Below are 15,989 nucleotides of genomic sequence, written 5' to 3' on the forward strand. Positions count from 1 at the left end.
CCAAAATGACTGACATCCTTACAAGAAGAGGAGATTAGGCCACACACACACAGGAAGGCCAGTTGAAGACACAGGAGAAGGGGACCATCTACGAGCCAAGGAGAGAAGCCTCAGAAGAAACCAACCCTACCCACATGTTGATCTTGGACTTCCAGCCTCCACCAGGACTATGAGGAAATAAATTTCTGTTGTTTAAACCCCCAGTCTGCATGGTAGCCTTTGCAAACTAACACAGTGAGTGTATGTGTCTTAGATTCTTATAGAAATTTTGCTATACATCTCACTCTGCACTTTTAAAATAAATTTCCTTTTATAAAATAAAAGAAGGCTGGGCACGGTGGCTCACACCTGTAATTCCAGCACTTTGGGAGGCCAAGGCGGGCGGCTCACCTAAGGTCGGGAGTTTGAGACCAGCCTGACCAACATGGAGAAACCCCATCTCTACTAAAAATACAAAATTAGCCGGGCGTGGTGGCGCATGCCTGTAATCCCAGCACTTTGGGAGGCCAAGGTGGGCGGATCACCTAAGGTTGGGAGTTTGAGACCAGCCTGACCAACATGGAGAAACCCCATCTCTACTAAAAATACAAAATTAGCCGGGCGTGGTGGCACATGCCTGTAATCCCAGCTACTCAGGAGGCTGAGGCAGGAGAATCACTTGAACCTGGGAGGAGGAGCTTGCAGTGAGCTGAGATCGCACCATTGCACTCCAGCCTGGGCAACAAGAGTGAAATGCTGTCTCAAAATAAATAAATAAATTAAATTAAATAAAGGAAACCAGGTCTCCCCCCTGAGAAAATCTTGCAGGTTTCAGTTCTGCAGAAAACCTATTGGCCAGAGCCAGTGAGAGGAGACTGAACTCCTGCCTTCTGCTGCAAATTTTGATGGGTGTCTCTCTATCCATAAGACAGCTCTATCTCTTGACTTCTGTTTTTCTCACTCTGGCCTGGTCAGCAAACAGGATTTGTGGGTTGTTGCTTGGGTTTCGTATTTCACATTTTGTTGAAATACACCCTGACCCAGATTAGTCCACCTAAGTAGTTAGGAAGAAAAAAAATCCAGATTCTTCCCCTGTCCCTGAGGTTCAAGGGGTGCTAAGAATGAAAAGCCCTTCTCTATGCCAACAATGACACAGCACCGGATATCCATAAGAGAGACTCCAGAGTGAGGAGGGAACATACACCAAGTCCTTTGAGTCCTGTTGAGGGAACTTTCAGTCTGAATAAATCAGAATTCCTTCGGTTGCAAGTGACAGAAAACCAGCTCAAACTAGCTTAAAACAATGAAAAAGGAGAGTGTGGAGAGGCCTCTCTAAGTAGGGTGTCCAAGTCCTGGTGGTTTTAGTCAGGTATAGTTGGATCCTTGGTTCGGTATACTCTGCTTCCCTGATATGTTGGTAAAGATGGCCACAGATTTGTCTTCCATAGAGATACTGATCCCAGGCCGGGCGTGGTGGCTCACGCCTGTAATCCCAGCACTTTGGGAGGTCAAGTAGAGTGAATCATGAGGTCAGGAGTTCGAGAGCCTAGACAATATGGTGAAACCCCGTCTCTACTAAAAATACAAAAATTAGCCGGGCGTGGTGGCATGCACCTGTAATCCCAACTACTCGGAAGCCCAAGGCAGGAGAATTGCTTGAATCCAAGAGGCGGAGGTTGCAGTGAGCCAAGATCGCACCACTGCATTCCAGCCTGGGTGACTGACCAAGACTCCGTCTCAGAAAAAAAAAAAGAGAGAGAGATACTGATCCCAAAGAAAAAGTCATGTCTCTTGTTACAAACCTCTATGGGAGAACCTTGAGTGGTCCAGCGGGGTCACCTACCAATTTCTAAAACAATCAATGTAGCCAGGATGGTAGAGGATCTGGGCCACACAACCTACCTACCTCTGGGACTGGGAAGTGGGGTGAGGGTGGTTGGCCCCATCCAAGCCGCTGAGAGTAAGGAGGGTTGGTTCCTCCAAGAGGTGCCAGGAAGGAAGAAAGTGAACACATGAAACATGAATGTATAGGTTGGTGCAGGCTTATAGAAAGTGCTCAGCAATGAGTGGCATAAAAAGTGCTTAAGTTTCAGGAGAGTTAACCTGAGGCAAAGAAAAAAAAAAAGTGCTTAAGTGACAATTTGATAAAAAAGGGAAAAGTGCTGTTCCAAAAATTTGAAAGGCTGTCTTGTGGAAGAGAGAGAGGAAAGAAAAGAGGATGAAACTCGAAATTATGTGTAGAAGTTGTAAAAGAGGTAGATTTCACTTTAGTGCAAGGAAAACCCTTCCAGAACCCAGGAACAACAAAAAGGGGTTGCTTCGTGAATTGATGGGGTCCCCTTTCCTAGCTGAGTCCTAGCAGGGATGAACGGCCACCCACCAGCAATGCAGAAAAGGGAGGTTCAAAAGCAGGTGAGTTAGGGGCTAGACTGATGCCAAGACCCCATTTCGACCTCAACATCTGATGATTAGGAAACACTGGTGGCTCACGCCTGTAGTCCCAGCACTTTGGGAGGCCGAGGCGGGGGGATCACTTAAGGCCAGGAGTTCGAGACCAGCCTGGCCAACATGGCAAGACCCCATCTCTAATAAAAATACAAAAGTTAGCCGGGTGTGGTGGTGGGTGCCTGTAATCCCAGCTACTTGGGAGGCTGTGGCAAAAGAATCTCTTGAATCTGGGAGGCGGACGTTGCAGTGAACCAAGATCTTGCCACTGCACTCCAGCCTGGGCGACAGAGTGAAACTCTGTCTCAAAAAAAAAAAAAGAAAGAAAGAAAAGAAAAAGAAAACACTGAAGCAGTAAAGAAGGTGCAAACCTGAACCTGAGAGGAGCACCTTGGGCAGCATCAAGGAATTTTTTAAGGCAACATTTCCTGAGGCTTGACCACGAGCCAGGTTCTGGCTAAGGGTTTGCATCTCTCTCCCCCATTTAAACCTCACAGCAACTCTTGAAACAAGTTTTGGCGACTTCACTTCATGAGCGAGGAAACTAGGATGCAGAGAGGTTGAGTAGCTTGCCCAAAATGATGCAGTAAACAGCAGAGCTGGGCTTTGAATTCAGGCCAACTGCACTTTAAGTCCCAGCTCTTTGCCTCTTTGCTCTTGGGACACAGGCAGGCCTGCTTCTTCGCAAAGAGCAGCATCACGCACCTCCCTCTGCTCACCTACCCCTCCCGCCCGATTGGGATCAAGGTCGACTTGATCCAGATGGCGGCAGGCAGGTCTAATGAGATGTGAAGGGATTCCCCATGGGGAGCCAAGAGTGGCTGGGAGAGAATCCCAGATTCACATCCCCCAACTTGAGATGTCAGGAGCAAATGCGGTAGCCATGCACTAAAAACAGCAGCAGCAACAGCAAAGTCAGCACTCTCACTGAACCCTTTCTGACTCCCGTCCGTCCAATTGCTTAGGTTGGAAGGACCTCAGGCCCCCAGGTGTGGCATGGGCGCCATCTGCCCTAGGCCCCCACATGCACAGTCAGACTCCGCCCCCACCATCCCCAGCATCCACATGGACAACATTGCCAACGGGCCCATCTTTCACGGACACGACTTGCTGTTTCCTCTCAAAATGGCAGAAAGCACCTGCTCAGGCACTGACACACACACCTAGGAATTTATATTTCTCTTTTTTAGAGAAAGTAAATCTTGAAATAAATAGACTGATAGGCCAGGCCCAGTGGCTCACACCTGTAATCTTGGCACTTTGGGAGGCTGAGGCGGGAGGATTGCTTGAGCTCAGAGAGACCAGCCTGAGCACACACAGTGAGAACTTGTCTCTAATAAAAAATTTAAAAAGGCCGGGTGCGGTGGCTCATACCTGTAATCCCAGCACTTTGGGAGGCTGAGGCGGGTGGATCATGAGGTCAGGAGATTGAGACCATCCTGGCTCACACGGTGAAACCCTGTCTCTACTAAAAATACAAAAAATTAGCCGGGCGTGGTGGCAGGCACCTGTAGTCCCAGCTCCTGGGGAGGCTGAGGCAGGAGAATGGTGTGAACCCGGGAGACAGAGCTTGCGGTGAGCCGAGATCGCGCCACTGAACTCCAGCCTGGGCAACAGGTGAGACTCCGTCTTAAAAAGAAAAAAATAAATAAATTAGCTGAATGTGGTGGCACACACCTGTAGCCCCAGCTATCTGGGAGGCTGAGTCAGGGCGAGGTGGGAGATCAAGGCTGCAGTGAGCTATGATCATATCACTGCACTCCAGCCTGAGTGGCAGAGCAAGACCCTGTCTTAAAATAAATAAATAAATAGAAATAGATAACATGGAGGCCTCCTGGACTCTGGACCCATGTGTGTATTGTTTCTTACAAAGGATTAAACAGAACTGGGCCACCTCTCACTTGGTTCAGTTATTCGTTTTCCCAAAGCTTCCTGTTTCTCTTCCCCTCTGTGCCTGATGCTAATCATCAGATTTCCAGGTTGGTCATGGCTTCAGAAGTTTCACTGAGGCATGTGGTGATCTGAGCTTGTGGTCTTTGTTTCTTTCTTCAGCTCTGCAGTTAATGATGAACACCGCAACAGCCACCTTATCAAATACTTCCAAATGCCAGCCTGAAACTCACATGGGAGATTGACAGAGGCCAAGGACGTGTGATTTTTAAGGTAAGCATGTGATGGCTTTGACAGGAATACATTTTGAGAGGTTAACATAGCACTGAAGAGATGGTTTATTTTAAAGGCAGGCCATAACTCAGGATCACGAGCTTGGAGACTTGAATGCAGCAAAAGGCAAACTGAGCTTGGCTCCTGCAAGAGCCTCCTGTAAACGTGAGCTGTGTCCCAGCAGCCTTCGAAGGTGGACTCTAAAGAGAAAATGTCTCAAAGTATTGTAGAAGATGGCTGTGACTTGGAGTTGTGTTGGGGAAAATTTTGCAAGCACATTATTAGAATATATCAATTAAATATGACATCAATATGAGAGTTAAGGTGAAATTCAAATTCCTTGCTGGAAACAACCATAGCAATGACTCATCCTATAGGTCTTGAATTAAAGCTATATTTCAGTAACACTGTATATTTCAAAACCACAAAATGGAAGCTTTGATTTTTCATTCAGTCACCTGAAAAGTACTATAACAGTATTCGAGAGCAATGAAATTGCATTTCAGAGACCTGACATGAGATAGCTAGTTGGTGTTCAGAAAGTGTTTGGGTTTTAACGACCCCTTCTGATTTGTTCTTCACTCAAAGCTGCTGCCAATAAGCTACTCCTAGAGGATACTGAAAGATCCTTTCCTGTTTTTAAAAGAAATAACATGCTTCATCAACAATTATTACAAACTTTGGAAGGAAACGGTACTGCAGGAGCTCTATCTCTTTTTCTCCAGTGAAAATTGCATTTCTATAATTCAAGATCTAGTCACAAGGGCTTAAGCAAGACCTTGTGCCAGCAATCAGGCATGGATCAAATGCACTTTTGCCTTCCTAAGGTAAGTTCAATTAAAAAATAAAACTGTCATAGAACTTTCACAGGATAAGGTGTGATTCCTGAGTCTAATATTTCAAAGATATTTTTATGCAAGATAAAGTAAGTCATAGATGGCCACCTGTTATTTCCTTAGGGATCCCTTTGTCTGGGAAGAAATGCCTATGAATTGTCCCAGGTTGGCCACCACTAAGAAATGGAGACATCAGAATGCTCCTGGACAAAGCTGCCTCCATAAGTTTTGTTTCATTTTTAATTTTCATTGAAAATAATAGACATATAGCTGGGTGCACAGTGGTTCACGCCTGTAATCCCAGCACTTTGGGAGGCAGAGGCCAGCGGATCACCTAAGGTCGGGCATTCGAGAGCAGCCAGGCCAACATGGCGAAACCCCATCTCTACTAAAAATACAAAAATTAGCTGGGCTTGGTGGCACACGCCTGTAGTCCCAGCTACTCGAGAGGCTGAGGCAGGAGAATTGCTTGAACCTGGGAGGCGGAGGTTGCAGTGAGCCAAGATCACACCATTGCACTCCAGCCTGGGCGACAGAGACTCTGTCTCAAAATAATAATAATAATAATAGATATACAGAAACATGCATATATCATTCGTGTCCAGCTCGATGGATTTTCACAAACCAAACACACCTGTTTAACCAGAACACAAGCAGCACCCTAGAAGCTGCCTCATTCTCCCTTTCAGTCACTGCTGACCCCCAAGGGTAACCAATATTCTAATTCTAATACCATAGATAAGTTTTGCCTTGTTTTATACTTTGTGGAAATGGAATCACGCAGTCTGTTTCCTTTTGTGTCTGGCTTCTTTCACACAGTTATGTCTGTGCCATCCATCCATATTGCTGCCTGTTATTTCAGACAGTTTCTTCTCTCTGTTGGCTGGTATTCCATTATGTGAATACACCGCCATTTATTTATCTATCCTACAGCTGACGGACATTTGAGTAGCTTCCAGTATGGGGCTGCTAGTGAGCCAGCTGCGAGAGTGTGTCACATGGGTCACAGTGTGCTGGTGCCCAGGACTACTCCTAATGTGCGTGAATGCTCACGGAGCTGCTTGGAACAGCGCCGGCTGCGCGGCATCGTCTGTTACCCTTCTGCCGGCAGATGCAAGCCTCGGGCGAGAAAGGCCACAGCTCCCCACCTGTGAAAACCAACTCTTGTTTCCATGAAAAGAGTTTTTAAAAAAGATCAGCAACTGAGAACAGAAGTAAGTATTGTTTGCATTATCTTAGAGATTGCAGCAGCTGGCCACAGAGAATCTGGATCAGAGCTAATAAGGGAACTTATTGAAACAGGATACAGCCTGACAATTCTTGAACAAGGAATAGGGCATGCCCAGGGAAGTAGAAAATAGTAGAAGCTGAGAGGTAAAATGTTGCCAAGAAAACTTAACTGAACCATCTTATCTCAATAGTTTATGAGTTTTAAACAAAGACAAAAAGACAGGCGTGGTGGCTCATGCCTGTAATCCCAGCACTTTGGGAGGCTGAGGTGGAAGGATCACTTGAGGCCAGGAGTTTGAGACCAGCCTGGACAACATAGTGAGACCTTGTCTCTACCAACAGAAAAAAAAAAAGAAAAAGCTAAAAATCTTCATGAACAAAATAACTCGCCTATCTTTTCCCTGAGAAAGTGAGTTCGCATCTCAGCCCAGGGCTGTCCTGGGGATGTTGCCCAAGCTCTCTGTGGTGAAGTTCTGCTTCTTGTCCGTAAAAAGGGGGGACTATGTTCTCGGGGCCTGAGGGTCAGAGACACGGGAGGTAAAAGTGCTGGAAAACACTGAATAGACGCTGACCAAATGCTGTATTCCCTCTCAGCCCCCACATGCCGTGGTTTAGACAAGAACTATGTAATGCGTAGCTGAGAGCTCAAGTGCACAAATGGGCTAGAATGTGGTGACTCAGAGGAAGGTCAGAAGATGCACAGCTTGTGCCCTTTGAAAATCTAAAAGAAAAATAAGTGAAAAAACTGCATGGGTGCCAGTGCAGGGCAGAGAGTGAGTGGGGAGGAGAACAGCGTGCTCTGGAGCAGACAAATGCCGGCCAGGGGCAGGCTCAGAGGCAGCATGGCCGCATACACCAAGCTGACGGCCTTTTCGTGGAATGCGGCTTCACTCTACAAGTATCGGATTCTGGGTACTAAGAAAAAGTCTCTAGCGTGATCTGCATCTTGGAAAGTTTTCACCTGCCCAGACACTCAATCACCTGGTTGGGTGAACAAAGTGGGGCCTGAGGTCTCAGGATTTGGGGTGCTTTCAGGATGCCTCTTCCCAGAACTTCTCTTCTGTGTGAACCCAGAGTCAGTGGTTCTGAGACAGACCTTAACCTCTCCTGTGAGTGGAGATGACAAGTTTGGATTTGAGGGCAAAAGATAGTATCTCTGGGAATAAAAGGCAGGCAAGCAGTAACGCTTTGAAGTCCGGGTGCCTGAAGCGTCACCGCTGCAGCTCCAGCTGTGCTGTGGGTCTCCACAGGGCCGGGAGACTCTTACCAGGCTCACCAACAGGGCTGCAGGAAACGGGGAGGAGTGAGTGCTCTCCAGTCAGGCAGAAAAAAATCACTCCAGCTCCACTAGTTTCTCCACCGTGACTGAGCCTCCTTTTGCCTGTTAGACTCCCAGCCCCAGTCACAATCATCCTTCATGTTTACCCATGTGCGTGTTGTTTTCTGACTCTCAAAGAGATGCAACCCACTTTATCTCAACATGAAGGAGATCAGGTGGTTACCATCAAACCCACTTTACCAGTAAGCTCAAGCAAACCCACCAATAAGCTCAAGCAAACCCAGAGACATTATGTAACTGACTGGTGTATGAAAAGCCACAAGTCATAGGTCCAAGTCTCCTGGACGTGTTCACCAGACCACACCTTCCAGAAAGACAGATCTGAGCCCCTGACATAGGCAGGTATAGATGGTCTTCAGGTTTTAAACCAACAGAGCCTGGATTTAGGGGTCACAGATAGTGGCCACTCAGCCACGGTGTGGAGAGGCTCAGCTTGTTACCTCCTAAGAATACCAGGTGAACAGATTTGAGAGATGCTTAGGTGATAAAGTGAACTGGATTTGGTGACAAGCCACTTGGGGAAAAGGAAAGTCAAGATACTCCTAGGTTTCTGGCCTGTGGGTCTGTGTTGGACAGTCATGCAATCACCGGCCAGCTGGCCTTTGAGATCAGCCTTGTTGATAGAGGCTGGATTTCAAGGGTCGTCATTCATTTATTTTGTGAACAAACATTAATTGAGTTTCTCTATGTGCCTAACACTCTATTGAATGCAGAATCATGCGGGGTGGACACGTCCTTCCTCTGGGTTGAGAGTATGTTTGACATGGCTTTGTGTCCCTAGCAATTTGCCCACCACCTGGCATCTTTGTGAGTTCTCAGTATAGTCACATTCTGAATGAAGAAAGGAAGAGATGTTTGTTTGTTTTTTTTTGTTGGGGTTGGGGGCGCAGGGTCTTGCTCTGCAACCCAGGCTGGAGTACAGTGGTGCAATCATGGCTCACTGCAGCCTCAACTTCCCTGGCTCCAGCAGTCCTCCCAGCTCAGCTTCCCTGTTACCAGCAGCGAATCCAAACAGGTCTGCAGCAACCTCAGTTCTCGCCTCCTCCAAAGAAAGAATTCAGCCAAGGAGGCATAAAGCAGAAGGAAAGACTGAGGCAAGTTTTAGAGCAGGAGTGAAAGTTTATTAAAAAGCTTTCGAGCAGGAATGAAAGGAAGTAAAATTTGGAGGAGGGCCAAGCGGGCGACTTGAGAAATCAAGTGTGCTATTTGACCTTTGACTTGGGGTTTTATATGCTGGCATACTTCCAGGGGCCTGCGTTCCTTCTCCCCTGAATCTTCCTTTGGGGTGTGCTGTCCGCATGTGTGGTGGCCTGCCAGCACTTGGAGGGGCCGCATGCACGGTGTGTTTACTGGAGTTGCACGCATGCTCACTTGAGGCATTCTTCCCATGCAAGTCCAACGTCCCTAGATGCTCATATGCCAGTTAATACGCATGCTTGAGCCCACTCAATCAACTCCTGAGATCTGATCAGGAAGCAGCTAATCACCAGTTTCAGATGTTTCCTATCTACTGGGAGACTGCCTTTCTCTGGCGCTGGCTACAACCAATTATTATTTTAAAGAGACAGTTAACAACCTTGAACATCACCTGATGGTCACCTGACATTCCTGTTGGGGTCAGGGGAGCCCTCTCCTGCCCTGCTCATGTCTGACTAGCTACCTACTGTAATCCTGAGTAGCTGGGACTACAGGCGCACACCACACCTGGCTAATTTTTTTGTATTTTTGGTAGAGACGGGGTTTCACCAAGTTGCCCAGGCTGGTCTTGAACTTCTGAGCTCAAGCGATCCACCCACCTCGGCCTCACAAAGTGTTGGGATCACAGGTGTGAGCCACCGCACCTGGCCAGAAGAGATAATTTCTTTAAAAAACCTATTCAAACCATATCACTTATCTGCTTAGAAGTCATCAGTGGCATGGTTGGCTCATGCCTGTAATCCCAGCACTCTGGGAGGCTGAGGCCGGCGGATCACCTGGGGTCGGGAGTTTGAGACCAGCCTGACCAACATGGAGAAACCCATCTCTACTAAAAATACAAAATTAGCCAGGCATGGTGGTGCATGCCTCTAATCCCAGCTTCTTGGGAGGCTGAGGCAAGAGAATCACTTGAACCCAGGAGGCGGAGGTTGCAGTGAGTCGAGATCTTGCCATTGCACCCCAGCCCGGGCAACAAGAGTGAAACTCTGTCCCCCAAAGCCTGAAAAAAAAAAGAAGTCATCAGTGGCTTTCCATTGCATTTGGAATAAAACTTGAAGTCCTCCCCGAGGCCTCCAAAACCACATAGGAGCCAGCCCTTGTGAGCTCCACCTCCCCTACCACTCGCCCCCTTATCTCCAGCCTGTAATCATCCGACCACTGAAACTTGTGCTCCCATCTCAGGACCTGTGGTTTTGAGGCAGACCTGGAGTCCCCTTCCTCACCATCCTCAGCCTGACCTCCACACAGAGCCTTCCCCAGCCACCCTCTCAGTCACTCTCCAATCGATTACCTGGGTGTATTTTTCTTCATGGTACTTACCTAAAAGGATCTGACTTATTTATCAGTGTGCTTGTTAGCCTTTTCCTCAACTATATTTTATGTTGAACATATAGATAGAAAAGTCAGAGGCAACAGCTGAGCCAGAGAATGGGCCTGGGCCACCCTGGTGAGGAGGGAGAGCAATACGCAGATATTTGAGAGATTTATTTGGGTTTTTGGTTTGTTTTTCTTAGACGGAGTCTTGCTCTGTCATCCAGGCTGGAGTGCAGTGGTGCGATCTCAGCTCACTGCAACCTCCACCTCCTAGGTTCAAGCAATTATCCTGCTTCAGCCTCCTGAGTAGCTGGGATTACAGGCACGTGCCACCATGCTGGGCTAATTTTTGAATTTTTAGTAGAGATGGGGTTTCACTATGTTGGCCAGTCTGGTCTCCAACTTCTGACCTCAGATGATCCAACTGCCTTGGCCTCCTGAAGTGCTGAAATTACAGGCGGGAGCCACAGTGCCCGGCTGGGAGATTTGTTTGAAAGGTGCTCAGTGGCTCACGCCTGTAATCCCAGCACTTTGGGAGGCTGAGGCGGGCGGATCACGAGGTCAAGGGCTCGAGACTAGCCTGACCAACATAGTGAAACCCTGTCTCTACTAAAAATACAAAAATTAGCTGGGCGTGGTGGCACGCGCCTGTAATCCCAGCTACTTGGGAGGCTGGGGCAGGAGAATTGCTTGAACCCGGGAGGCGGAGGTTGCAGTGAGCCAAGATCGTACCACTGCATTCCAGCCTGGGTGACAGGGCGAGACTCCATCTCAAAAAAAAAAGGTGGGGGTTGCTTTGGAGGCAGAGCTGACGGGGTTTGTGGAGCCACTGAATAAGGAAAGGATACTGTAGGTGCTCACCAGGTCTGCATGGATGGTTGTGCTGATCCTTGACCGTGGCTGCCCCAGAGGAGGGCCACATGTGGGTACAAAAGGCATGAGCTGGGCTTTCCACTCCCTGGGTTTGCAGTGCCTCTGAGGCACCCCAGAGGACCCTTGCAGTGCGAGGCTGACACCGGGGCCTGGAGCTCAGCAGAGGCCAGAGTGGCAGGTGTAATGTGTGAGCCCCGGTGTGGCTGGCTGTGGGCCCTGTGGGTTGCATGAAGTAGCTTAATGCGAGTAGAAAAGAGAGACAGGAGGGGGCCTTAGAGTAGCTCTTGAGGAGCTCTTCCAGAGAAGAGCTGGGCAGGGAGAGGGGTGTGGGGAGCTCAAAACAGAATCAAAGGGTGGAGAAAGCAAGCCAGGAGACAACTGGCTCCAGTGACTGACAGCATCATTCCACCCTTGCCTGCTTTCCTGTGCTGTTGATAACCAGTGTGGCTATGTTGTCATTCCCCTGTCAATATCAAGTGAGTTTTTATAAGTTTGAAAACCTGGCATTTTAAATTTTAAATGAAGATAGAAGAGTATGTCAAGAGGCGTGGGTGCGCGTGCCTGGTCCCAAGCTGGACTCCTTGGGAGAGTCCTGCCAACCCTGCCAGCCAGTGCCAGATACGTGGATGTGTGCTGGGCTGAACCACACAGAGACCCTTGGGCTCTCCAAGTGGCCTCTTTCATAGCCTTTACAAGTGATAACTCACAAGGACCCTCTCCATGACTTCCCCCTTTTCTTCAGAGGAGGAAACCAAGGCACAGCCAGGAGAAATGACTTGCCCAGCTCAACAACCAGTGAGGAGAGGTATCAGGATTCAAACCAGGCAGTGTGGCTCCAGAGTCCATGGCCTTTATCACTGCCCCCTACCCTTTGGCAAGCTCCACTTTTGATAGCGCTGATGTGATAGCAGACAACGTGTAATTGCCAAACTTTAGTCATCAGCACGCTAGCTTTGAATGGAAACACAAGGTATGACCCAATCTCTTCTTCTTAAGCATTTGGCTGAGATGATTTGTCCCTGCTCTGCCCCTACCCCTACCCCCCTGCCACCCACCGCCCCCCGCCGGCGACCCCCTGCCCCTTGTCTTCCTAAGGAATTGCTGTATCACGGTCTAGGGGAGTTTCCGAGCTCTGAGAAGTTTCTCTACAGCTTCTGAGGTGAGGATCCACCCTGCATGAAGGATACTGGGCCACTCAGGCCTTCTCCCACTCCGCGGCAGGATCCTAGCGCCTGAGGACACTGGAGCCATTCCAGGTGAGATCGGCTGTGTGACTAGCCTGCAGTGCAGCAGACATTTGTGTAGGGCGTCTCTCCACACATCAGATGAGCTTCTTGACTCAGGCTAATTTGAGCCTGTTTCATTATGACCTGGGTGAGAAGACACCCGAAGCCAGAGAGCACTTTGGTGCTTTTTATGACCTTGAGAGTTTCTCTTCCTAATAAGCTGTTTCCTGGCATCATTCTAGCCAAGCCCCCTTTCCCGTTTGATAACCAATGTTGCTGTGTTGCCATTCCCCTCCCCTGAGTTTAAAACATTTGACAACCTGCATTCTAAATGAAAAAAATCCTGATATGCAACCAGTCTTGTCTTTCACAAAACTAAACAAGAGTTTCTCTTTGGCTTAACAAAATCTTAGAGCAGCCAACCTTGGAGTGTATTTTAGTTACTTTACATCCAAACTGTAGGATTTAGTGAAAAGCCATGTGTTTACTACCATGAAGTAGAAATGTGTTGAAAACACACCATCCAATTGCTATGGTGCAGGCTCTTCTAACAGCCTATCGGAACTTCCTTCACTTCACAAATGATACACTCTAGGGTAGAACTTCCTATTTTTAAAACCGCATAAATTCCCCCACCCATTCCCCTTACAACACTTCAACAATCTGATTACGTCGTATTTTCATTTTCCTACTGTGATTGACGCTTTATGTGAAACCTCACCAAGCTCTGAGAAACTCCTAGGAATGCAGTCACACTAAGTGAGATCCACTTTTGCTGTTTTTCCTTGATTTGAAGGTCAGATGGACATTCAGTATTTTCCCCAGTTGGGTTCACTGCAAACAGGATCAGTCTGGAAAACATATTCTTGTCCCATGACGAGAATCCAGAGGGAACTATGTTTGCCTTTTCATTGATGTGATTATCAATGTGGATTTTGTAGTTTAAAAACAAAGCAACTCCATTTTGCAACTGCATTCTCCATAGAAATTTGACCTTTGGTGGGGCTGACTAATCTTATCAACAAATCGGTCCCACAATGATTATTCCACCCATTAATTCTCAGCAACAAATGGTAAGCAAGATGGCCAGGAAGGATGACTGACTCCCTCGCAGGCTCGGCCAGGCTTCAGGCCCTATCTTTGGATCTGTGTTCATCATGGTGATTGTCAACTGCAAGCCTGATTTGATAGCCTTTCCTCTCGTGGTATTACTCGGAGGTAATGTGCAAGCAGAGAGACCCGGATGCAAATTCTGCTCTATAGTTGACCATTATCTTACAATGATCTCAGTTTCCCATAACACCAATTTCTATGTTTTCCATTTATAAACACCTGTAATTCGCCTTGCTTGGCTTTGTGATGTGTGAGTACAATACATTTGATGTTATAATGGAAATGTGCACTAATAAAATGCACCTTTAGCCATTTGCTATCTTAGGGATTTCTGTAATGCATTATTTATAAGAAAGATGGGTTTAGCCTTTTTTTTTTTTTTTTTGGTGAGACAGAGTTTCACTCTTGTCGTCCAGGCTGGAGTGCAATCGCATAATATCAGCTTACTGCAACCTCTGCCTCCCAGGTTCAAGCTATTCTCCTACCTCAGCCTCCCAAGTAGCTGGGACTACAGGCACATGCCACCAAGCCTAGCTAATTTTTGTATTTTTAGTAGAGACGGGGTTTCACCATGTTGGCCAGGATGGTCTTGAACTCCTGACCTCAGGTGATCGCCTGCCTCAGCCTCCCAAAGTGCTGGGATTACAGGCGTGAGCCACCATGCCCAGCCCGGCCATTTCTATAATTTTGAAAACTACTGGCTAAGGAGAATAATGGTGCTGAGGCTGGGGGTGTCCGGAGAACCAGCATCCATCTCCCAAGAAAACAAGGCGGCAGCCTGGGGCCTGGGACTGGGAGGGCAATGAAAGAGCTCAGTGTTATGCCCAGGAGTGAGGAAGGGCCGGGGGCATCTCTGAGCCCCTGTGAGCACAGGAGCCCTGCCTGTCTCAGGTCTGGAAGAGGGTCTCACTTCCGGCTTCAAAACGGGCTGCCTCTCCTGTGCTGCGGTGAAGCCCCTGAGTAACAGATGCTGAAGCCCGTGTGCTAGGAACTCAGAAGACGGGGCAGTCCCGCCCCTCCCTCCAGATTCCGCAAGGGAAATTACAAAGGGGTCAAGATCAGAGGAAATGTAGCCTCAGGAGCTTTACAGGAACCCAGTGGAGCTAAAGAAGGAGAAAGAGCCTGTGCTGGGCCTCTCTGTCCCGGAACTAGGCACAGCACACAGAGCCCTTCTTTTCCCCAGGTGTCATGCCGAGCAGGTGCTGTGGGTTTGCTGTCTACCTGGGACTCGCACCCTTCCCCTGGTCCTACTTACACTTTTTTTTTCTTGAGACAGGGTCGCACTGTGTTGTCCAGGCTGGAGTGCAGTGGCATGATCACGGCTCACCGCAGCCTTGACTGCTGAGGCTCAAGTGATCCTTCCACCTCAGCCTCCCAAGTAGCTGGGACCACAGGTGCTTGCCACAGCACCTGGCTAATTATTTTGTATTTTTTGTAGAGATGGAGTTTTTGCCATGTTGCCCAGGCTGGTCTGGAATTCCTGGGCTCAAACAATCCTACCTCCTCGACTTCCCAGAGTTGGGATTACAGGTGTGAGCCACTTCACACGGTGCTCCTGGCTCATTTAACAAAGGTACATTGGGCAGCACAGGCCGGGGCTGGGCTCTCTTTCTTAGGGAGTTTCTCCAGCTAGAATGACTCAGGGATATCCTACTCTAACAAAATCTTTCCCTTGATTCTGCCTTCCCCTCAAGCTACTATCCTATCTCATCCCGGCAACTTCTTGAAAGAAAGGAATCACCACCCCAGACCATTGTGTGTGTCTCTCTCTGACCTAACACACCTGGCTCCCTGTACCCCACTGCACCAATGACATCATCCTCCGAAAGGTCACCAGCAACTTCCTGATTTCAAAACCCAGCAGCTTTCTGTCAGCCCCGAGTCCTCACTGACCTCTCACCTAGCGATTTACACTGGCAGCCACCCGTCACCGGGGGTATGCACTTTGCTTCTGTGACTCTACCACCTGCTTCTCCCACCACCTCTCTGATGCTTCTGTGCTGTCTCTGAGGACTCTTCCACCTATTCTTGTTCTTCTTAAGGAAGACGGTTGTGTCAGTCTTTCAGGGCTGCTAATACAAGGTAACATGACTGGGGGTTTAAACAACAGGAATCCACTTTCTCGAAGCTCTGGAGGCTGGAATTCTGAGATCAAGGTGTTGGCGGAGCTGGTCCCTTCTTTTTTTTTGAGATGGAGTCTTGCTCTGTTGCCCAGGCTGGAGTGCAATGACATCATCTCGGCTCACTGCAGCCTCTGCCTCCTGGGTTCAAGCG

At 48.3% G+C, this 15,989-nt stretch overlaps 1 annotated feature.

The window, feature by feature from the left end:
* Nucleotides 15,588-15,647: an enhancer, noted in NCBI's record as "active region_16302". NCBI's record gives its function as "activates an Ori minimal core promoter by ATAC-STARR-seq in GM12878 lymphoblastoid cells {active_cell/tissue: GM12878}" and the evidence as "EXISTENCE:reporter gene assay evidence [ECO:0000049][PMID:35858748]".

This window comes from Homo sapiens, chromosome 2, assembly GCF_000001405.40.
Source record: "Homo sapiens chromosome 2, GRCh38.p14 Primary Assembly".
NCBI lineage: Eukaryota > Metazoa > Chordata > Mammalia > Primates > Hominidae > Homo > Homo sapiens.